Source organism: Homo sapiens, chromosome 12 (genome assembly GCF_000001405.40).
Source record: "Homo sapiens chromosome 12, GRCh38.p14 Primary Assembly".
Lineage (NCBI taxonomy): Eukaryota > Metazoa > Chordata > Mammalia > Primates > Hominidae > Homo > Homo sapiens.
In genome coordinates, this window is record NC_000012.12 from 49,332,141 (window position 1) to 49,354,071 (window position 21,931).

Below are 21,931 nucleotides of genomic sequence, written 5' to 3' on the forward strand. Positions count from 1 at the left end.
ACTCTTCCCTTATTAGGCTGGTGTCTCCCTCCACCTACAGCGTGAGGCCCCAAAGCTCTCCTGAAACAGACCATCCTTCTTCCTCCCCATAGCAGAGTAGAAGCACACACACACCCCTTTTCTGCCAGAGGCAGGCCTTGCCTGGAATTAACTAAAACTTTGCCTCTGGCAGGGACTGACAGCACGGTAGGAGCTCTTTAGAGGAATGAGGGAAAGGGTCCGCCACTTTCCCCCCAGTCTATGCACCAAGTTAAGCAGCCACACACAATCCCCCAACCTCACTTTATTAGAAGAGGCAGCAGCAGCTGTAGCCCCAGGGCCTAGTCCGGATAGGGGGGAATGGGGACTGTACAGAATGCGTTTTAAATGCCAGGAAAGAATTCACTGGTTCCTCCAGTTCACAGGAAGGCTGCCAAGGCTGGAGCCTGAGCCTGAAAGTGGAGACGAGGGGACGAGAGGGTGGCGAGAGAAAGTTGTGACGGAGAACCTGCACTACCCTGTTTTAATGTCTTCTCTTGCCTAAATGGGCTCCTCCTGTTTCTGTTATTTCCCTCGCAAGCTGCGGGGGCTTCCCTCCGGCTTTCTGGGCCTCTGAGTCCCGCTATTAAAACTGCTCCCCATCTCTGTACAAAAGAGAAAGCCACGACCTCTGCCCCTATGGGGTCCAGCGCGCACTTGGGTGCGGGTGATCCCTCCGGAAGTCGCTCTGCTCCTCTGGCCGGGTCTCCTCCTCTTCCCGGCCACTTATACCCTTGAGCACCAAGAGTTCGCCCATTTAGGCCGCCTCCGGGAACGGAAGGGTCCACCCCACCGCCAGGCTCTCAAAGGGTGGGGTGGCGCCTCGGGTGGGGCGGGCAGGAGGTGGGTGAGGACGGGAGAGAAGGGGCGAGCGGGGGCACGGGGCGGGGCCGGCTCAGTCGGGGTAGATGATGAAGCCGGAGAAGGTGCTGTACTTGTTGGTGTTGCCGCCGTGCACTTTCCCGCCGTCCAGCTTGATGAAGACCTCGTCGCCCACGTCCAGGTGCAGAATGACGCTGTTGCTGGCGTAGTCGTAGTTCTGGTCCGCGTCCTGAGCAATGGCGCTGGCCCGGACCTATCGAGGGAGAAGAACCTGCTCATGCTCTGTGTGGAGCTGGGGTGACGAGAGGGGTCGGGGCGGCTGGGCGTGCGAAGGCGGCCGGGCAGCCGCCGCAGGGGCTGGGGAGGACCAGGGAGGAGGGTAGGACATCACGGAGTTGCTCCAGCTCTGCCATTCACTAGCTGTGTGACGCGGAGCAAATACCACGCCTTTTCTGGACCTCGAGTTGATTTATAAAGTGAGGGACAATAATAGAACCCACCTCATAGGGTGTTAAGATTAAGTGAATTACTACATGTGAAGTGTGTTCAGAAGAGTGGTTTGCTTTTTTTTTTTTTTTTGAGATGGAGTTTCATTCTTTTTGCCCAGGCTAGAGTGCAATGGCACGATCTCGGCTTACTGCAACCTCCCGGGTTCAAGCGATTCTCCTGCCTCAGCCTCCCTAGTAGCTGGGATTACAGACGCCTACTACCACGCCCAGCTAATTTTTTCTATTTTTAGTAGGGACGGGGTTTCACTGTGTTGGCCAGGCTGGTCTCGAACTCCTGATCTCAGGTGATCCACCCACCTCAGCCTCTCAAAGTGCTGAGATTACAGGCGTGAGCCACCGCGCCTGGCTCAGTGGTTTCCATTCTTAAATTATTTTTAATGCATTTTCAAATTACTATTCTCATTTTAAAAATAAAATTTGTCGGCCAGGCGCGGTGGCTCATACCTGTAATCCCAGCACTTTGGGAGGCCGAGGCCGGCAGATCATCTGAGATCGGGAGTTCGAGACCGGCCTGACTAACATGGAGAAACCCCGTCTCTACTAAAAATACAAAATTAGCTGGGCGTGGTGGTACATGCCTGTAATCCCAGCTACCCGGGAGGCCGAGGTCGGAGAATCGCTTGAACCCAGGAGGCAGAGGTTGCCGTGAGCCGAGATAGCGCCATTGCACTCCAGCCTCGGCAACAAGAGCGAAACTGTCTCAAAAAATAAATAAAATAAAATAAAATTTTGCCTATAGGATAATTTCTAAAATTCTGAACCGGCTGGGACCTCCTGTCAGTCCTCATGGAGGGTTGGCTTCCCCAGTGGTGGGGCATAGGTGTGCCTGTGCGTGTGCATAGGGTGCGGGCCATGATAAGGTGCACTGTTGCGCTCTCGCCTGTGGGCGCGGATTTCCCGACCAAGCACCCACTGGTGCCCAGGCGTGGGGGGTCGTCTTCTGCCAGAACAGGGAGCACTTCCTCCCCTCCGGGCTCATGGCGGTCGCTTCGGGCCTTCAGCCCCCCTCTTCTAGAGAGTCCCACAGGGGCTGGTTATTAACTCATTAATTATTCATCATTATTCTAATCACTATTTACCGTCCCCAGGGCCGCAGCGCCCGCACTGAAGAATACAGAGTGGGAGCTGCGCAGTCCCCTCCCCCTCTGAAACCCGCACGAATTAGTTACACACTGGCCCCCTCCACCTCCTCCCAGATACCCTGCATGGACCAAGCACACCTACTCGATGTCATATACAGATAGACACCGCTCTACTCTCACATCGCACTCCGCACTCACACACACTCCCTGACACACATACATATTCTTTCACTCCATGAGGACGCACACTCACTCCCTTTCCCCGGGTTCCTGGGGCAGCCCGGCTGGGATGAGATCCCAAAGCAGGTCTCGGGGCAGGTAGATGCTGCCGCGGTACCAGGCTCCTGCAGGCCTGAAGCTCCTGGGTCGCCACCACCCCCTTCATGCTGGACATCCAGAGGTCACCACTCAGCCCCAACCTCCCTCTGCAGCCTGTGCAGCTCTGGCACCTTCTCCCACCTACCCCACACCTGCGGCCTCTAGTTCCCACTATGTGTGAAATTTTGGTGCTAGAGCTTAGTCCTTGGGGCTATTCCCCGAAAACAGAGGCAACAGTGACTCCAACTGCCCACAAGGGCAGGGAACTGTGGAACCTGGATACTGAGAGATTGCTAGGGAGGGTGTGGGGCCTACAAGACCAGGCCAGGGCCCAAGGCTATTCTACCTGTCCCTTGCCTCTTTCCTCCCCCAAATCCATTCATTCCAGCCACCTGGCTGGCCCTTGAGCTGCCAAGCCACAGACTCTGCTGAGGGCAAGGCCGTTCTAGGCCCCCAGCCCTGGGGTGAGCAACAGAACAGCTGATCGGCAGGTGAAGTGAGCAGGCAAATGTTTTCTTCCTTTTATACCTTTTCCTCAAACATCCAACCCGAATGCCCTCAACATGAGAACAGCTGCTGACTTCCTATTGCCTGAGACATGGATTCCATTCTAATTCGAAGGAGCCTAGACTCCAGTTAGCTGGTCCAATGCAAGGCTGAGAGACCCAAAGGCCAGGGGGGCTGCCGCAGAAGAAAGGATAGCCCAAGACAGGACGAGAAAAGAAGCGAGTTGGCAGGGCGAGACACCAAAGACATCTGGTGTTGCCCATAGTTGCAATGTGAGGTCACAGCTGCAGAGACACTCAGGTTTAAGTCCTGAGTTCTAATTCTAACACCATTCCTACACTCCGTGAGGCCCTAGGCAGAAGGTTTTCCTTCTCTGGCCCCCAATTTCCTCTGTGGGTAAATGAAGTCATCTATCGTTCTTGGCAGCCTCGCGTTCCTGGATTCAGTGACGCTGTTTCGGGGAATAATCTCAGGTTGTGGGATGAGTGCAGGGAGATCTAGAGAGCGACCAGTCTGAGCTGGGTTGGGGAGAGGGGCATCTCACCTGTCCGTTCTTCATGAGGTCGGCCCACATGCTGGTGCCGTCGCCGCCGCGCATGAGCACGTGGTAAGCGAAGAAGTAGACGCCTGGCATGGGGCAAGTAAACTTGCCGCTGGCTGCCTCGTAGGCGTTGCCCACGTTGGTCACCACGTCGTCGAAGCGCAGCACCTCGTAACCCTCGTGGGGCCGCCGCAGGCCCGCGTAGAAAGCAATGCGAGGCACGTAGCCGGCAGCGGGCGCCACCCCGCCCGGACCTGGACCGGGAGGGCCCGGGGGGCCTGGCCTGCCGGGTTCTCCTGGGGGCCCTCTTGGACCTGGTGGTCCAGGGGGCCCCCGCAGGCCTGCTTTCCCGCGCCGGCCCACCTCTCCCTTGGCGCCTGGCGGGAAGGGGGGCACGGAAGCAGGCGCGCCGTCGGGACCAGGGCCACGGGGCCCATGCGGGTCGCACACCATGCGGCAGCGACCCAGCATCTCGTAGTGCGCTGGCCCGCGGGAGCTGTGCACCAGCAGCGGGATGGCCACCAGCAGCAGCAGCACCATGGCCACTCCGACGGCCGCGCCCGCCACCCTCTTGCGGCGGCTCAGCCGCGACGCTGCCAGGGCCAGCAAATCTTCCTCACTCTTGGGCGCAATGGCTGCCGGGGCCGGGGCTCTCCGCGGGCCAGGAGGCGGTGACCCGCCTTGGGCCTGGGTCTGCACTCCCCCGACGGCTGCCCCCCGCTCCCCTTACCCTGCCTCTGCGGGCTCCAGCCGCGGCGGTGCCGCTCCCCAAGCCGTCCGTCAAGGGGAGGCCCCTCGTGGGTTACGTCAGGGGCAGCTCCCGACGGTCCAGAGCCAGTGGTCCTCTAGTACCCTCCCGTTCAGTCCTAACGATCCTGGGCACCTGAGATCCGCGGCTTCTCGGACGGCTGGTTTCTTAGGGATCTGAGATGCCTGCTCTCCAGACTGCTGCTCTCTCAGGGATGGCGCGGTGCCTGGGTCCCAGACTGCCCAGATAGACCACTCCCTGATGGAGAGGGGACTGCTCCCCGCGCTCCGGACGTCCCGGGCTCTGAGCTGCGGGTGCTGCTCACCGGGCGCGATCTCCTAGTAGGTTTTGCGCTCTGCCTCTTGGCAAGCACCGACTCACCTTGCTACCCCTGCCGCGGCCCCAGTCCCTGCTAGAGCCCTGGCCCGCGCCTCTCTCCTGCGGGCGCGGTCCCTCTCCGCCTCCCTAACCTTCCTCCCCTCCCTCCCGGGCGCGGGTGGTATGAGGCGCCGCGCGGCGGGAGCCACTATAAGCGGCCAGAGGCGGAGCGACCCCTGGTGCCCAGAGTGGGAAGTGCGGGGGCGGGGCAGGCAGCGGCCCCCACCCACGTCCTCCCCGCCTCCCCTCCACTCCCCCACTGCCCCTAGGTTCCTTCCCGGCTCTGAGCGGGTTCTTCAGGGTTTCGCGGCCCCCGCTGTATCTTTACTTTTACCCTTTACCCGGAGTTTGGCATTCTCAGAGGCCAGAGGAAACCCAAAACAGCGATGGGATAAAGAGGGGTCAAGATACAAACACGCAGAGAAGACAGGGGTAGATTCCCGAGCTAAAATGAGGGGGAGGGACCTCACAAACAAACAGAAAACAAAATAAGAAGGGCTAGAAAAGATAGAAATTCACCACCCCACGCACCTCAGCGCCCGTGACCGAATAACATGGTAAAGGATTCAACTGATACTAGTTGGCCTGAACTGGAAAAGGCAAATCTCTAGCCAACCCTACCCCCACCCCTCAGTATTGGGGCGCGGAGCGGAGTGTGTGTGTGTGTGTGTGTGTGTGTGTGTGTGTGTGTGTTTGTGTGGAGAGAGAGAGAGAGAGAGAGAGAGAGAGAAAATAAGAGAACAGATCAGCCCGGGGGAGCAAGCAAGAAACCGACAAGAAAGCAGAGAAGGAGCGACAGAAATCAAAGAGAAGGAAAGCTAGATAGAGATGCAGAGACAGAGACAAAGCTTCGAAAAGAGACGGACTGACAGCCCCAGAGGGGGAGAGGGAGAGACAGAGACAGAGGAAGAGAGACAGAGCCGGGACAGGTTGACAGATCGAGAGAGAAATGTAAATGGCGCGCTGCAGAGAGACACCCAGGTCCGTGTTTGGACTCCAATGTGACATATCAACTGTGGGGAAGATGCGGGGGCAGGGCGGCTCTGCCAGCAGTGCTAGGCTCTGGGCCTGTGCATTGTGACAGTGTGCTCCAAAGTGTGGAGGTGGCCATGGGATCCTGGCCCTGTGTGTCCCTGGGTGAGTGCGATTGTGGATTGTGTGTTGTCTTTGTGTATGTATATGTGAGGGCTGTTTGAAGGGAGGTATTTGTATTTGTCTTCCTCCTAGTCCCTCAATTTGGAGCCCACAAATGCCATTTTTCCTACCTTGGGACTGAGAATGAAGGACTCTACTGGACAGAGAGGAAGTCAGAAGACAGCTGTCTTCTCATTTGCCCTGCCCAGCTCAGCCCAATGCCACCCCTGCCCTGGTCCCAGACTTATCCAGTCCCAGGAGTCTCTGCCCCTTCCTCCTTCTTCAAGAGTTTGTTGTTAGATGAAACCCAGAGAAGTTGGATCCCACATAATGGGTATTTGGGTGGGGGTTGAAGTTGGCCATGCAAATTAATGTAAGTAAAATGCAGATTAGGTGCTAGGCACCCTCCTGTAAGAGGGGACTGTATCTGTCTTTCCGAGCGGCCAAGACATTGCTAGACACAGGCATTGCTAGATCAGAGTCCAGAGAAAAAGCTACTGGCTGCATCCTCTCTTAGGGCCTGGGCCTTCTGGGGAAAATGTCTTGCTCACAGGGACCCCAGAGGCTAGGAAAACAGGTTCTAGGACTGGTAAAAAGTGGGGGCATTTGGAGACCCTGGAGGTGAGCAGCTGCAAAGGCCTCTTAGAGACCAGGATAAGCCAGGACTATCATGTATGGGAGAACATTGTGTAAGATGGAGGGCACAGGGCACACCAGGGCATGATTATTGGATGGAGAGTGATTTCCTCCTCTCTTGTTTTCTGTACTCCTTCCTTGCACCCCCGACCCCCGCCTCATAATGATGCTGGGAGAGAGAGGTTCCTAAGGCTGGGCCTGTGTTGGGGGTTGGGGGAGGCCCCTACATGTCTGCAAGGAGTGGGAGAGAAAGGATTGGCAGTCAGTGGGGGAGGGGCCTCCTCCTCCAACCATAAATACAAATTTTATTCAAGGTCTTTGTCGCCATTTGTCTTCCTCGGGGGGCTGAGGGCCGTGTCAGCCCTCTGCATGTCTAATTCCGGATCTGCTCCCCCAGGCTGGATGATGGATGGATCAGAGAGCAGGCCCAGGCTCACACCAGCCTCCCCTGCCTGATCCTCAGGCCCCATCCACCCCAGGTCCTGACTCCTCTCCCTCCCTTTTCCCTCCCTCCACTCACCAGAGACCCCCTCTGCCCAGCCACACTCCTCACTCCACTCATTCTACTCACCAAGGTCCCCTTTTTAAGTCCCTCACCTCAGCCCCTTTCAGGTCCCAGTCCTCTTCTCTCTAGAGCTTCCCCTCTCCTCCCATCCCCAGCCCAGGCTGTGAGATGTGGTGACCAGCAGGGCTGCAGGCAGCAGCGGATCTGTGTGGTCGGGGGAGCCGGCTTGGCTCACGGGGAGCTGAGGGGCCAGCTCCATGAATTTATTCATGTTCTGTTGCTCTTTTCCCACACTCTGGAATGAAGCTGCCAGCTCACCAGGTCCTTATTGCTTCCCCTGCAGCTGCCACATTCTGCCAAGAAGGGACCTGGGTGGGGCCAAGGCCAGCCTGTGCACCTTGGGCCAGAAGCCAAGTGTCTGGGCTCGAGGCAATGCTGGGGCCCAGGCCAGGGTCTGGGACAATTTTCCCAGAACTCCTCTGGCAGCCAAACTGGGAAGCCCCAGGGAGGTGGTATGGTTGGGAATGGGAAGTAGGTAGAGAAGGGTGTGCTGCAGGACAAAGAAGGGGCAGTGGAAGTGGGGGGCAGAGTTGGCAGGGGGAGCGGAGAGGAGAGGAAGCCTTTAACAGTTTCCTAGGCTCCCCCACTTAAAGGTTAATGCAGCCTTCAGACAGACCAGTCTGTCCTTGACTCTGCATTAGCCTTGACCCTAACCCCTATTTATATACTCGACTCCTCTTCAATCCTAAAATGAATTTTAACTCCATAAACTGACCCTAAATGGAATGCCTCCCTCACCTGTCCTGGAACCCAGGGGGATCCCCAGAATCCCCCCCAGGGCTATAGCTAGGTGTGTGTCAGAGTTCTGAGGACCAGACTTTGGATTAGCATGTGATTAGCATATGATTTGCATGTGATATGTGCCTTCTACTCTGTGGAAGTTTTCATGTTAAAATTTTATGAAGTCTAGTGGAAAGGTCCTGGCTCCTTGAAAGTTCTCTCTTTTTGTTCCTTCTCTCACACTTACTGTCACTGACCCAGACCCCCTCAAGGGAAGAAAGGGGGTGAAGAGGTGAGCAATAGAGGGCCCTTGGGAGGGAAGGCTCCAGCAGCATGATATGCCTGCATCACTTGAACGTGCCTCAGTTTCCTCATCAGTAAGAGAAGAGAAACCTCCTCGCTGCCTGACATTTTATCAAGATCTAAGGAAACACTTTTTTTTTTTTCCTTGCACTCTCTCCTTCCTCCCCTTCAGGGCCCGTCACAGTGTGGTTCTCCCTACTCATTCCCACACTCTGGCTTTCAACTCCCACATTGAAGATCACATGGATCTGGAAGCAGCCTGGGTTGCCTGGTAGCAGTCCTCTAGTATGAAGACAAGGGAATCCACGTGAGAGGACAGGGGACGGCATGGAAAGGGAAACAACATTATTGAGTCCTTATTGTATTTTAGGGCTTTAACATGCAACTTCTCGTTGCATCCTCACAGCACCCTTTAGAGTTAGATCTATTGTCCCCATTTTAAAGATAAAAAAACTGGGGCCCAGAAAGGGGAAATGGCTTGTCCATTATCACCCTGTAAGGGATAGTCCTGGAATTAGAGTTATGACCTCCTGGCTTCCTTCTCAGTTCCCTAGAGGAGACAAATGGCACCCAAGGCAGTGGAAGAGTGAGAGAGGCAGGCCAGGAGTGGGCAGTGAGATTTGAATGGCTTCCGGGAGCCTTTTGTATGTGAGGCCAAAAGGGTTGGGTCTTGGCTCCGTGTATCCCCCAACCCCCACCCTGACACTGTTAAGCATGATGCCCAACAGGTGCTCAACTGTTGGCTAAAGGATGGCCAAAGTTAGTTTCAGAGAACAACCGTCCAGATGGAGGAAGAGAGGGCAGAGAAAAAGGAAGGCAAAGGAAAACGAAGCGAGTCAAGGAAAATTTGCTTAAGGGACAAAAGGGAAGCCTGAAGCCGGCTGTTCTCCGACTGCAGCTGGGAAAACCGTCCCAGCCCAAGAACCTGCTCATGGTTTGCCTCCTTGCAGAGACTACCCTCCTGCCTCTGCCATCACGGCCAGGCCCAGGGCTCCCACTCATCAGCCAGTGCCTCTGGCACCAAAACTCAGTGCAACCTTAAGTTCAAAGTATCGCACCAGGGTCCACAGGGCTGAAGACAAGCTCCTGGCTTCTCAGAGAGTGGGTAAAGACTGCTTCCAAGGTGTCTGCCAGGTCAGAGCTGTTGCTGACTTACTTCGGCAGCCCTCCACCCCTGGCCAGGTGCTGCTCCTAGCCTTTGACTCCTCCACCTCCCTTTGTGCCCCCCTCTGCCTCCACCGCTTGCCAGCTCCAGCCTCCAGTTAATGAAATGTGGGGATCGGCTGCACAGAGAGCTGTCAGACCCCTCATTTCTCCTCTGGGATATTGACTCCGGGTCTGGGAGACCCACAGGTGAAAGGAGGCGGGTGGGGTGCGGGAAGTTGAGGTAGGGGCGCATACTGATGAGAGCCCCGAGACCAGGAGGTAGTGCTAAGCTCCAAGTCTCGAGGGCTCGGCTAAGCGAGGAAGGCCCTAGGATGCTCTTTCTGCTTGGGGTCCCCAGCTTTTCTCTGACGAGCAGGACACTTAACGAGCCCCAACCCACCGCACCCGGACCTGGACCCCGAACTAGCACCCCAGGCGGGCTGGACTTCAGTGAGCGCCGCGCGCAGCGCCTCGGAGCCAGAGACCGCTGCCCGGTGCTTCCTCCCATCTTCTTCCATCCCTTCCCTCTTGCTCCCCCTCCCTCCTGCACTCCCTCCCCGGCGGCCGCGGCCTTTATTAGGGATTCCGCGGCTGTCGGTCCCGCCATCCATCCTGTCCGCCGGCAATTAGGCGGCCAGACAAAGAGCAGCTTCGGATGGATGAGGGTCCCAGCGGATCGGAAATGTGAAGGGTCAGCGCTGCCGCCCGCGGCGCACCCCGCTCCCCCTTCCGCATAATCACCGGCCGCCCGTCACTCAGCCGGCCGCCCAGGGAGCTCCTGGGCCCGGCCCGGGAGAGGGCGGGGTGCGGCTGCAGCCTAGGCGCCCAGGACAGGGCGAGGGCGGACCTGCGGCAGGAGCGCCTCCTGCGGGGCAGTGGAGGACTGTGGCCTGAGGCATTGGCCGAAGGGTGGGGGATTATGGCCCCGGGCACTCCCCGAAGGGAAACTGGGGCTAGCGGCTTGGGGCCTCCCAGTGGGGAAGAGGGAACAAAAGCTGCGGAGACCGGAGGCCCGGGGTCCAGGGCGCCCCCTGCTGGGAAGCTGGGAACCAAGCCTTAGAGGTCCGGCAGGTACAGATGGAACCAGGCCCAGGGCGACCCCTCCTAGGGAAACCAAGGGTTTCTAGCCTGGCGCGCCTCCTGCCGGCTTTGAATGACACTGCGCTTCTATGCCCGCTCCGTTCAGTGAAATCCAACCAATCCGCATCCGCTCAAAAAAGGCTCCAAGTCCTGGCGAACCCGAGGGGAGCCGAGAGGGAGTTCAAGGAGTCCAGGTTTTACTGCAGATTCTTTGGCGCTAGCTCCCAGCTGACAAATCAACATCTCAATCTGACAATTAGTGGTCAAGATGCGGGGTGAGGGGCTCTTACAGCCCCGGCCGCTTAGCCCTCCCGGCGGGAGGCAGAGGGGTGGGCGGTGCTGGCAGTGATGAACGACTCCAGGGGGGCCCGTGGCCCCGAGCGCGCATTCATTACTCGACTGACAGGCGGGTGGCGGGCCGGGCGGGCTGCGAGTGGACGTGCCGGGAAAGAGGCCAGTAGCAGGAGGGGACTAAGGCAAGCGTTTAACAGTCCCACTGCTCCATCTGCTCCCGGTCCTTCGCCTTGACCCTGGGACTTGACTTCCTTGAGCTCGGCCTCCCAGTTGTTGGAGCTGGCCCTGGCTGGGAAGCAAGGGCGGGGACCTAAGCCCTCTTCTGGGGTTAGGTGATTTAAGGTCTGAGATGTCAAGGAAGGGTATTAGGCAGGTCTCAAGACTAGGCGATTCGGCCTGACCTCTGAGAGATTGTGCGTGACTGTGCACTCAGAGATGGCGTGTATGACAGGGATTGATGAATGTGGATCGCACGTGGGAGGTCAGTGACTGTGTGTGTCAGTACCAGGTATGTGTCAGTATGATTTTGTCAGTGGAGGTGTGAGATTCCCTCTGAGGATGAGCCACCACCCCTCCCTGTGTGTCCGTCTCCCCACTACCCCCCAGCTGGCTGTCAGCTCTGTCTCCAGTTATGGAGGAAATGGCAGTGCGCACGGTGACAGCTGAGGTGTGCTGCTGGGGTGGGGGGTGGGGGTGGTGCTAGATGTTAACTGTGAGAGTGCTGGTCAGGACAGCTGCTCCCTTCCAGCACCTTCACCACTAACATCCCTACCCCAAGGGTTTTGAAAGTAGTGGATTTTTTTTTTTTTTTTTTTTTTTTTTTTTTTTTTTTTTTTTTTTGGCCAAAGTTTGGACACCTAGTTGCTGTGCCCTGGGGAACAAAGTGATTACTGCCAGAGTTGTCTAGCCCATACCCCTACACATACACATACACAAGGTCTCCAAATGTGAGATGTGATCTCCAACCCATGTGGCCTACCTAGGCTGGTGGTGGCCAGAGAGGAGTTGGTAGATGTTGAGCAGATGCCTGTGTGATGCTCAGGAAGAGAGAGGCTGACCTTCAGACCTCCAAGGCAGCCTATCTCTTTGGAGCCTGTACTAGCAGCCTCGGAGACCCTAACCTTTTGGGTCTCAAGTCCAAGTTAATTACTAGTTTATGCCTTGGGAGGATAATGCTAACTGCACTCTAATTCCTCTCCATAATAACTCTCTTCAGTTTGGCTTGGTCTCCACTCTCAATCCTCATTCTCAAAAACACCAAGAAGTTGAACCTGGCCTCCTCCCAGCCCTGAACCTCCTGGGTTTACAGAGCAGAGAGCTGGGCTGACTCTGGATCTCTGGCCCCCTGTTTTGTTCAGCAAGACCCCTTCCCTTTGTCTTGTTGTTCCTTGGGGCTAGGGTATCTCCTGGAGCTTCTGTATATTTATCTCTGTAAACGTCCTCTTCTTTTTTTTTTTCGGGGTCTCACTCTGTCTCCCAGGCTGGAGTGCAGTGGCTCGATCTTGGCTCACTGCAATCTCCGTCTCCTGGATTCAAGAGATTCTTCTGCCTCAGCCTCCTGAACACCTGGGACTACAGGCTCCACCCGGCTTTTTTTTTTTTTTTTTTTTAATTTTTAGTAGAGACAGGGTTTACCATGTTGACCAGGCTGGTCTTGAACTCCTGATGTCAGGTGATCCACCCACCTCAGCATCCCAAAGTACTGGGATTACAGGTGTGAGTCACGGCGCCCAGGCTTTGTACCCTCCTTTGTGTCTGCATATTTCCACATTTAGGAATCTTCCAAATTTGTCTTCCTACATTTTGGGGGGCTCTCTCTTTGTTCCTCTTGGGGCTCTTCTCTCTAAGAATACACCAGCCCAGCAGAATACCCCACGGACACTGGAGTAGGAGAAGGAGGAGGGCTTTCTTCCTGCCCCCATCCAGAGGTGATTGCTAACCCAAGGATGGTCACACCGTGTCAGGGCTCGGGCACGCGCGGGTCACTTCACATTCTGAGCACAGACGCCTGGTCGATGCCCTGCTGTCCCTCCCTCCTCCCAACCTCCCTCCGCCTGGCCCCCGCCCCCTCCGCCCGCCTGGAAAAGGCAAATTTGACATTTTTAAATCCCGAGCCTTAGAGGGATCGATGCGGCCCGGGGGCCCCGCCCGGGGTCGATATTCCTGATTGGGAAGCGGCCGCTTCGCGGAGCCCGCGTGTAAATCACCTGGGCTGGGGGAGGGGGCGTGGGGAGCCTACCACGTCCCAGGCTCGCGAAGCCAGGAGGGGTCGGGACCCGGGCGGTACCGGAGGGCGACGGAATGAGAACGACAGGCCTTAGAGAACCAGAGAGAAGCCCGCCCAGGGCCTCCCCCTCCCCCGCTCAGCCCTGCCAACTCCCCCAGCAGGCTCCAGTCTCGCTTCAGCGGCCGCCACCCTTCGTTGCCCCTGGAGCCGCCGGGGAGGCCAGTGTCGGAGCCAGCCATGCGGCGGCTCCTCTCTGGCCGCTCCCGCGGGGCCGGGGCTTCGGCGGCTGCTGTCACGGAGCCGACAGGCCGGGCCGGCCGGGAAGGGGCGGGTGGCGGGGGGGAGAGGCGGCGGGGTGAGGCTGGCTCAGCGCTGGCACTCAGTGGGCGCGCAACGTATGTTTGCCGAATTGAAAGGCTGGGACACCGAGCGGCGCAGGGCAGAGGGTCGGAGGGCACAGGCGGGGTAGGAGATGGCCCAGACCGGGTGAGGGCAGAAGCCTCACTCACGGGGGAAGAAGGCACTCGAGGTCGCTCTGAGGACCGCTGGGCTGGGATAGACCACCCATCCCCCGCCGGGGAGACCCGGGTAGTAAAGAACAAGACAGAATGGGACAGGCAGGACGGTTTGGACCCCACCTACAAGCGCCTCCACCACCCCAGCCTCCGATCCTTGTCACGCTCTGCTGGGGAAACCGAGGCAGCCGATGCTGAGAATAGCCAAAAAGTTAAAAGCGGGGTCAGCGACGAAGCTGGGGCAGCAACCAGAATTCCTGCGTGGGTTTTTTGGATTCCTCCGCCCACGCGGGGCCAGTTTGCGGGTAAATGCACCACCGCGCCCCGCACCACAGCTCAGACCCTTTCCTCTCGCTGCAGTTTGTCAGATCCCCCCACCTCCCACTCTGCACCAGTTTATAGAACAACAATTTGGGGAAAACAATCCGGGCGGAGTGACGGCCCCGTAATTGTGACAAAGTGAGTGCGGGCGGCTGGAGAGAGCGCTAGGCCGGGAGCGCTGCAGGGCGAGGCGGAGGCAGGGGCGCCTCCCCCCGCCCTGCCGCCCCCTCGTTCTTATTCCGGTCACCTCCCATCCCTCTCCTTGACTCTTCAATTCCTCTTCTCCCGGCCCCTTGCGCCTTCCTTCGCTTGTTCCTCCATCGCTCTTCCCTTTCCTCCCGGTAACAGCTCTTCTCCCGCTCCCCCGACCCCGTCGCCCCTCCCCCGGTGCGCTTTTTCCTCGCTCACTTCTCCCCTCTCCTCTGCCCTCCACTCGTTTCTTCAGCTTTTCCTCGCGCTTACATTGCCCTTGGGCCCCTGGCTCTCCCCGCACAATCCGCTTCTCTCCCTCCCCACTCCTCCCTTCCTGAGATCGAACCCTGAGCCCCTTCCCGACCCCCACTCTCTGGGCCGCCAGCGCAGCCCCGCATTTCTGGGTTCCTCGGGAAGTAAACCTGGGGGCGCGCTGCGGCCCCGGGTGCCCCGGCGGCCAGCCCCTTCCCTCTCCCTTGTATGGCTGCCGCCCCCGCCCCACCACCTGAGCCGGGAGATAGTTTGTTTGTCCAGCGGCGGCCGCCGCCGCCCACGCTGTTTGCAAAGCTTAGCGCGCCGTCGCGCAGTGCGGGCCCAATTAAGTCTCATTCATTATTCAGCGCTCCTGTCCGCCCCCGCCCCCCAGCAGTCTGAGGCGTCGCTTTGGGGCCCCTCCCAGCCTAGGCCCCTCAGTGAGCCCTAAGAGGTCATATAGAGAGCAGCATTTCCTCTCCAGGCCGAGATGAGGGCTGAGGGCGTTTGGAGGGAAGCGCTCTGCCTACTGCCGGGAGGTGACACCCGCGAGGCCGACCGTCCCCCGAAGCCCCCGCAAGTCCAGACTGGGGGACCTCGGAGATCCACGAGATTGCCAGAGAAGGAAATTGAGGCCCAAGAAGCTGCATGACTTAGCCAAGTTCACGGAGTAGAACCCGGGATTGGAGCCCGGGACATTGAAATGAAGGCGTCTTGCATTGCAGCTCCGTTGCAGCGCAGAGGCGCAGGAAGGCAGACTACCACGAGCCTCGGGCTGCGGCCTCGCCCTCCTGGTCGAGCCTCCTGCCCTCCAACCCTCTGCTCCCGTTTCTCCCTCTGGTTCATAGCCCGCGGGACAGAGCAGCCCTGGATTGGGAGGCTCCTCAGGTCTCAGGCTCAGGTGCAGAAGCAGAGCCCCTAACTGGAAGGCTCGGAGGTGGGCCGGTGAGGCAAGCAAGCCCTGTGGGGGGTTGAGGACAGCTTGGGTTGGATGTCCCTCACTGCAGCCTGTCCGTGGATGTCTCTGCCTTAAGGGAATTGGAGGTGGAACCATCCAGTCTTGAAGGTCAACGGAGCGTGAAGAGAGGAGCGTGCAGCTTGAGGTGAGGGAGGAGTCACCTTTCAATTTGTGGGGGTGGGAGGAGGTAATCAAGGACGTATTCTTGCATTTACAGGAGTTTATCCTTTTTTTTAGCACTACAGATAGGAGCGTCCCTTGCTCCTGCCAGGCAGCCCCTCCATAGGGGCAGTCCTGTGCTGCTGTGCCTCGGTACCCGCACAAGGTGTCTGGGGACCGCCCGGACCCCCCCTTCCATCGGCGGCAGCGCCACCTGGCGGCCATGGTGCGGTGGTGTGGGAGGAGCTGGGCCCGGGCTGGGCACTGAGCCCACCGGAGCTGCAGGCGTCTGCAGAGCCTTGCACCGAGTTTCCCCGCGAGGGCGGGCGGGAGGAGTCCCAGGCGGGAATGTGATCCCCAGGGGGCCGGGGAGGGCCCTGGGGAGGAGCCTGGCCTGGGGAAGCCGGACTTCCGTGACACAACAGACACAAAAGACAAAGTCCATTTGGATGGAAGTGGGAGCAGGGCGAGACGGGCCATTTTCACTCTGTGGTCAAAGGAAATGACTGGTCTGACTCGGTCTGGGAGCGGGGCACCCAGGTATGGCCACTTGATTTGGAAGTAGCGGGTGCTGGCTGGTGGTCGCTCCAGATAGAGGGGACACTGGCAGGCACGCTTGGCGTCCAGTTTGATATTGTGAGGATTTGTCCAGCTGCTGTGGAGTGGCTTTCCAAGCCGGCCTCCGAAAGAGGTGGTTGAATTGTGGGGTGCCAAGGTCTAGGTCAAACGAAGTTTTCCAGAATATTTTAATAAAGGGAATTCAGGACCCCTTTCAAGTTTGACCTGTGGGAAAATCTCATGGCCTGGAGAGTTAGGAAGGCAGGAGAGTGGCTAAAGCCTGGGCCAGGTGTGGGAGGGCAGCCACAGTTGGAGTTAAGTCAGGGGTAAGGCAGAGGCTTTCAAAATGTGTGGGAACTTTGGAAAAGCATCCAATGCAGCCCTGCCCCTCCACACATCCCCCCATGAGTCATTTGGGGTCATGGGTCTCAGGGGAAGTCTGAAATTTAAACAGCTTTCTCCTCTAAATCTGGAGTCACTGTGGTTGTAAAGAATGGGACTGAGGTGCTAGGACAAGGGATATGAGATAAATAGCACTGGGGACTCAGGCAGATCTGTACTCAACTTTTATTGGAAAGAGAAATGGTTGCTGTGTTGGAGCCTGGACATCATCTTATGACTCTACTTTTTCCCATCTCTTAGGGTCTAAGGATAACTCTGGGGCCATGACAGCCATGAGTCTCACAGAGGACCCCGAGACTTCTGTGCTGCGAGTAACCGGACTTGTTCTGAGACCTTTGCCCTAGAGGATGGCCAAGGGGCTCCTGGTGACCTATGCCCTCTGGGCTGTGGGGGGCCCTGCTGGGCTCCACCACCTGTACCTGGGAAGGGACAGCCACGCCCTGCTCTGGATGCTGACCCTGGGGGGAGGTGGGCTGGGCTGGCTCTGGGAGTTCTGGAAGCTCCCAAGCTTTGTAGCTCAGGCCAACAGAGCCCAGGGACAGAGGCAGAGCCCCAGAGGGGTGACACCCCCTCTGAGTCCCATTCGCTTTGCTGCCCAGGTGATAGTTGGCATCTATTTTGGCCTTGTGGCACTGATTAGCCTTTCTTCCATGGTCAACTTCTATATTGTGGCCCTCCCACTGGCAGTTGGCTTAGGGGTCTTGCTGGTGGCTGCTGTTGGCAACCAGACCTCAGACTTTAAGAACACTCTGGGGTCAGCATTTCTCACTTCACCTATCTTCTATGGCCGCCCCATAGCCATACTGCCCATTAGCGTGGCCGCCAGCATTACAGCTCAGAGGCATCGCCGCTACAAAGCTTTGGTGGCATCAGAGCCGCTCAGTGTGCGGCTCTATCGTCTGGGCTTGGCTTACCTTGCTTTCACAGGCCCACTGGCATACAGTGCCCTCTGCAACACAGCTGCCACCCTCAGCTATGTGGCAGAAACCTTTGGCTCCTTCTTGAATTGGTTCAGCTTCTTCCCCCTTCTTGGCCGCCTCATGGAGTTTGTCCTCCTTCTGCCTTACCGGATCTGGAGGCTACTGATGGGGGAGACTGGCTTCAACAGCAGCTGCTTTCAGGAGTGGGCGAAGCTCTATGAGTTTGTTCACAGTTTTCAGGATGAGAAGCGTCAGCTGGCTTACCAGGTAAGGCTTTCTTCCCTCAGTCCTGTCCGGTGGCTCTGGTGGCCCTCATGTGGAAGTACTGTACTTTTGTCTGTTGGCCAGGTGCTGGAAGGATATTCTGGCTTCTTTGGATATCTGTGTACAATGGGCAAAGGTTACAGATGCTGTGAGTAGGAAAAATATATGTGTATATTATTTACTTTTTATTGAGGTACAACATATATAAATTGCACTAATTTTATGTATACCTGACTCAGATCAAGGGATGGAACATTTCCAGCACTAAGAAGTTTCTTTTATTCCCCTTCTCAGCCTATACTCCCACCTTCAGAGGTCATTTCTATTCAGACTTTCGTCACCATACATTAGTTTTGCTCATTCTTCTTCTTCTTTTTTTTTTTTTGAGATGGAGTCTCGCTGTGTTGCCCAGGCTGGAGTGCAGTGGCACAATCTCAGCTCACTGCAACCTCTGCCTCCTGGGTTGAAGCGATTCTCCTGCCTCAGCCTCCCGAGTAGCTGGGACTACAGACGTGTGCCACCACGCCCGGCTAATTTTTGTATTTTTCATAGAGACAGGGTTTCGCCATGTTGGCCAGGCTGGTTTCCAACTCCTGACCTCAGGTGATCCACCCACCTTTGCCTCCCAAAGTGCTGGGATTACAGGCGTGAGCCACCGTGCCCAGCCAGGTTTGCTCATTCTTGAGCTCCAAATAAGTGGAACCATCCCGTATGTGTTCTTTTGTATTTGGCATCTTTCATCTTTCATTCAACATCATGTTTATGAGATGTATTCCTCTTGATTCTTTTTTTTTTTTTTTTTTTTTGAGATGGAGTTTCACTCTTGTTGCCTAGGCTGGAGTGCAATGGCGCGATCTCAGCTCACTGCAACCTCTGCCTCCCAGGTTCAAGTGATTCTCCTGCCTCAGCCTCCCGAGTAGCTGGGATTACAGGCATGCGTCACCACGCCAAATTAATTTTGTATTTTTAGTAGAGACGGGGTTTCTCCATGTTGGTCAGGCTGGTCTCGAACTCCCGACCTCAGGTGCTCCACCCGCCTCGGCCTCCCAAAGTGCTAGAATTACAAGCAGGAGCCACCACGCCCGACCATTATTCCTCCTGTTACTTGCAATTGTAAATTGTTTGTTTTCACTGTTGTGTAGTATCCCATTGTATGATTATACCACAGTTAATTTATTCACTCTATTGTTAATGAACATTTGGGTTGTTTATGGTTTGGGGCTATTATAAATAAAGCTGCTATGAGCTTTCTTGTACATGTCTTTGGTGGACATATATACATTTATGTCTTTTGTGGGGAAGAGATCTTGCCAGGGATATGAAGTTCCAGGTTGGAAAATGGGCAGTTGTGGTTAATGGCTCTTGCCATGAGATCTAGAGCTTGTCTATGTTTCAAAAGGCTGGAATTCTTTTTTCTAAAATAATTTTTTTCTTTTATTATTACTCTATAAGGCTGGAATTCTAACCTGAGCTGCTGGACCTTTCCCACGGGCAAGTAGAAGCCAATTCTAGAGATATGATAGCCTGATTTAGCAAAGGTGCAAGGAGAGGCCCAGGTACCCTGACAACTTGGGGGATTCTAATTTGTCATCTTCTGTTTCCATAAGGTTTTGGGCCTCTCAGAAGGGGCAACAAATGAAGAAATACATCGGAGTTACCAGGAGCTAGTGAAGGTCTGGCACCCAGACCACAACCTGGACCAGACAGAGGAGGCACAGAGGCACTTCCTGGAGATCCAGGCTGCGTATGAAGTCCTGAGTCAACCCAGGAAGCCCTGGGGATCCCGGAGGTGAAAAGAAACTTCCCCCTGAGGACTGACTCTTCCTAGCAGAGCTGGGCAACTTGTCCCAAATCTAGCTTTGCCCACGAATGGCATCCCAACAGAGTTAAAGAAACTGCTTGCAGGGGCTGGGCGTGGTGGCTCATGCCTGTAATCCCAGCACTTTGGGAGGCCGAGGCGGGCAGATCACGAGGTCAGGAGTTCGAGACCAGCAGCCTGGCCAATATAGTGAAACTTCGTCTCTACTAAAAATACAAAAAATTAGCCAGGAGTGGTGGCAGGCACCTGTAGTCCCAGCTACTTGGGAGGCTGAGGCAGGAGAATCACCTGAACCTGAGAGGCGGAGGTTGCAGTGAGCCGAGATCACGCCACTGCACTCCAGCCTGGGCAACAAGAGTGAAACTCCGTCTCAAAAAAAAAAAAAAGAAAGAAAAACTGCTTGCAGGGGACATGAGAAAACAATGGGGTGAGAAAAGGTTGTGGTAGAAGGATGTGTTTATATTCTGAATTTCTGAATTCTTGGCTATTGCATTCTTGACAATTTTTCTTAAAACCAGAGAGTGAAAGGCATATTATAAAACAATCAAATATCTTTTAGAGTATGGACAACTATTATATATCAATAAAAAATTAATTAGAAAAAATATATCTTTTAGAGAACACACCACCTTATCCCACCCATGATATATTGATGTGTGATGGAGAAAGATTATTTAACTATTTTTTTAAATGTGTAAAGCAGCAGGGCATAGTGGCTTACGCCTGTAATCCCAACACTTTGGGAAGCTGAGGTGGGAGGATCACCTTAGGTCAGGAGTTCAAGACCAGCCTGGCCAACCAACATGGTGAAACCCCATCTCTACTAAAAATACAAAACTTAGCCAGCCATGGTGGCACATGCCTGTAGCCCCAGCTAGTCGGGAGGCTGAGGCAGGAAAATCACTTGAGCCTGGGAGGTGGAGGTTGCAGTCAACTGAGATTGAGCCACTGCACTGTACTCCAGCCTGGGCGGCAGAGCTAGATTCTGTCTCAAAAATTAAATAAATAAATAAGTAAGTAAATAAATAAATAAATAAATGTATAAAGCACTATGTTAGGAGATTGAAGGAAAAATATGAAGGTTCTAGTATTCACAAGCTGTCCTGTGATAAGAGAGATTTGATCTTTTCTGTAGATGGGGTGAGACTAGGATTAAATTTCAAAATTTGAGAAAAATATTTTCATTCCATTTATGGGAGAACTTTCTAGCAGCTACACTTTCTCCAAAAGGGAACAAGCTACTGTGGAGTGGGGGGTAGTTCTTCCTCCTCTGCTTAGAGGAGAATTTTTGGAGAGCTCTCAGACTTTACATAGGTGATTGGACTGGCTGACTTCTCAGGTCTTCCCAGTATTTGAGGTCTGATTCTGGGCTACATACCCTACTCCTAGAAGCATACAATCTGATGGGAGATAATGACACAGGTACACAGATATCAAAGCCCTTGTTCAGTGTTTTGAACTAAATGTCATAAGAGCTGTAAATAGTGTATTGGCACATTGGAGGAGGGACAGATAACATTGTTTTATGGGGACTCAGAAAGATTCATTATTTTATATGTCATATGTCCCTTTGGGGACTTTGGGAAACCCTAGGGAACCAGCGGCTAGAGCATCTCAAGGGGGCCTTATTCAATTCTAGGTAACTAGCCAGGTGTGAAAGAAAGGGCCCAGGGTGTCTCACTTTGCAGAGGAAGATTGGAGACCAGGAACATGATTTTAAATTATGTGCCTTTACTGCAGCTTTCTTGCTCTCTTTGTGTGTGTGCATTCTTTCCATTTTTTTCTTCTTTCTGGATGTTAAATCTGAGTAATATATATCATTTTTAAAGTGGAATTATGACCAGGCATGGTGCCTCTTGCCTATAATCCTAGCACTTTGGCAAGCCAAGGCAGGAAGATTGCTTGAGCCCAGGAGTTCAACACCAGCCTGGGCAACATGGCAAAACTCCATCTCTACAAAAAGTACAAAAATGAGCCAGGTGTTGTGGGGTGCGCCTGTAGTCCCAGCTAAGGAGGCTGAGATTGGGAGGATCACTTGAACCCAAAAGGTGGAGGCTGCAGTGAGCTGAGATCGTACCACTACACTCCAGCCTGAGTGACACAGTGACAGCCTGTCTCAAAAATATAAAAATAAATAAATAAATAAAGTGGAATTATGTTGATGACTATTCTCTCTATTCTCTCTCTCTCTCTTTTTTTTTTTTTGGAGATAGAGTCTTGCTCTGTCACCCAGGCTGGATCTTGGCTCACTGCAACCTCTGCCTCCTGGGTTCAAGCAATTCTCCTGCCTTAGCCTCTCGAGTAGCTGGGATTACAGGCACCTGCCACCACGCCCGGCTAATTTTTGTATTTTTAGCAGAGATGGGGTTTCACCATGTTGGCCAGGATGGTCTCGATCTCTTGACCTCATGATCTGCCTGCCTTGGCCTCCCAAAGTGCCGGAATTACAGGCATGAGCCACCACACCTGGCCACTGTTCTCAAATTGTATTATGGAGTTTTTTTTTTTTACAAAATATGGATATATTTTAATTTACTCAAATG

General features: G+C 55.2%; 2 protein-coding genes across 6 annotated transcripts, besides 9 other annotated features; one reads left to right on the forward strand and one right to left on the reverse strand.

Annotated features, from left to right (window-relative positions):
• Window positions 1-268: 268 nt before the first annotated feature.
• On the reverse strand, window positions 269-5,048 carry C1QL4 (complement C1q like 4). Of its 2 annotated transcripts, XM_011538270.3 has the most exons (3): window positions 3,801-5,048; window positions 954-1,093; window positions 269-751 (listed from the first exon to the last, which is right to left on the reverse strand). In XM_011538270.3, exons 1-3 carry the CDS (start codon window positions 4,335-4,337, stop codon window positions 745-747), a joined length of 684 nt encoding a protein of 227 aa, XP_011536572.1. In that variant the 5' UTR covers window positions 4,338-5,048; the 3' UTR covers window positions 269-744. The 2 variants fall into 2 exon arrangements, with proteins under 2 accessions (XP_011536572.1, NP_001008224.1); NM_001008223.2 differs by having other exon boundaries at window positions 269-1,093.
• Window positions 3,644-4,443: an enhancer, noted in NCBI's record as "H3K27ac-H3K4me1 hESC enhancer chr12:49729567-49730366 (GRCh37/hg19 assembly coordinates)". NCBI's record gives its function as "activates a minimal SCP1, AML or CMV promoter by ChIP-STARR-seq in naive H9 embryonic stem cells {active_cell/tissue: H9 hESC(naive)}" and the evidence as "EXISTENCE:reporter gene assay evidence [ECO:0000049][PMID:30033119]".
• Window positions 4,812-5,221: a silencer, noted in NCBI's record as "silent region_4429". NCBI's record gives its function as "represses an Ori minimal core promoter by ATAC-STARR-seq in GM12878 lymphoblastoid cells {active_cell/tissue: GM12878}" and the evidence as "EXISTENCE:reporter gene assay evidence [ECO:0000049][PMID:35858748]".
• Window positions 10,089-10,228: a silencer, noted in NCBI's record as "silent region_4430". NCBI's record gives its function as "represses an Ori minimal core promoter by ATAC-STARR-seq in GM12878 lymphoblastoid cells {active_cell/tissue: GM12878}" and the evidence as "EXISTENCE:reporter gene assay evidence [ECO:0000049][PMID:35858748]".
• Window positions 10,430-10,941: an enhancer, noted in NCBI's record as "H3K4me1 hESC enhancer chr12:49736353-49736864 (GRCh37/hg19 assembly coordinates)". NCBI's record gives its function as "activates a minimal SCP1, AML or CMV promoter by ChIP-STARR-seq in primed H9 embryonic stem cells {active_cell/tissue: H9 hESC(primed)}" and the evidence as "EXISTENCE:reporter gene assay evidence [ECO:0000049][PMID:30033119]".
• Window positions 13,073-13,262: a silencer, noted in NCBI's record as "silent region_4431". NCBI's record gives its function as "represses an Ori minimal core promoter by ATAC-STARR-seq in GM12878 lymphoblastoid cells {active_cell/tissue: GM12878}" and the evidence as "EXISTENCE:reporter gene assay evidence [ECO:0000049][PMID:35858748]".
• Window positions 13,293-13,392: a silencer, noted in NCBI's record as "silent region_4432". NCBI's record gives its function as "represses an Ori minimal core promoter by ATAC-STARR-seq in GM12878 lymphoblastoid cells {active_cell/tissue: GM12878}" and the evidence as "EXISTENCE:reporter gene assay evidence [ECO:0000049][PMID:35858748]".
• Window positions 13,413-13,532: a silencer, noted in NCBI's record as "silent region_4433". NCBI's record gives its function as "represses an Ori minimal core promoter by ATAC-STARR-seq in GM12878 lymphoblastoid cells {active_cell/tissue: GM12878}" and the evidence as "EXISTENCE:reporter gene assay evidence [ECO:0000049][PMID:35858748]".
• On the forward strand, window positions 14,748-21,550 carry DNAJC22 (DnaJ heat shock protein family (Hsp40) member C22). 4 transcript variants are annotated; one of them, XM_047429555.1, is made up of 6 exons: window positions 14,748-15,411; window positions 15,504-15,965; window positions 16,626-17,572; window positions 17,654-17,717; window positions 19,022-19,060; window positions 19,177-21,550. In XM_047429555.1, exons 3-6 carry the CDS (start codon window positions 16,733-16,735, stop codon window positions 19,206-19,208), a joined length of 975 nt encoding a protein of 324 aa, XP_047285511.1. In that variant the 5' UTR covers window positions 14,748-15,411; window positions 15,504-15,965; window positions 16,626-16,732; the 3' UTR covers window positions 19,209-21,550. The 4 variants fall into 4 exon arrangements, with proteins under 4 accessions (XP_047285511.1, XP_047285512.1, NP_001291873.1 ...); XM_047429556.1 differs by lacking the exon at window positions 19,022-19,060; NM_001304944.2 differs by lacking the exons at window positions 17,654-17,717; window positions 19,022-19,060.
• Window positions 15,447-16,390: an enhancer, noted in NCBI's record as "H3K4me1 hESC enhancer chr12:49741370-49742313 (GRCh37/hg19 assembly coordinates)". NCBI's record gives its function as "activates a minimal SCP1, AML or CMV promoter by ChIP-STARR-seq in naive H9 embryonic stem cells {active_cell/tissue: H9 hESC(naive)}" and the evidence as "EXISTENCE:reporter gene assay evidence [ECO:0000049][PMID:30033119]".
• Window positions 15,565-15,784: a silencer, noted in NCBI's record as "silent region_4434". NCBI's record gives its function as "represses an Ori minimal core promoter by ATAC-STARR-seq in GM12878 lymphoblastoid cells {active_cell/tissue: GM12878}" and the evidence as "EXISTENCE:reporter gene assay evidence [ECO:0000049][PMID:35858748]".
• Window positions 21,551-21,931: the final 381 nt, after the last annotated feature.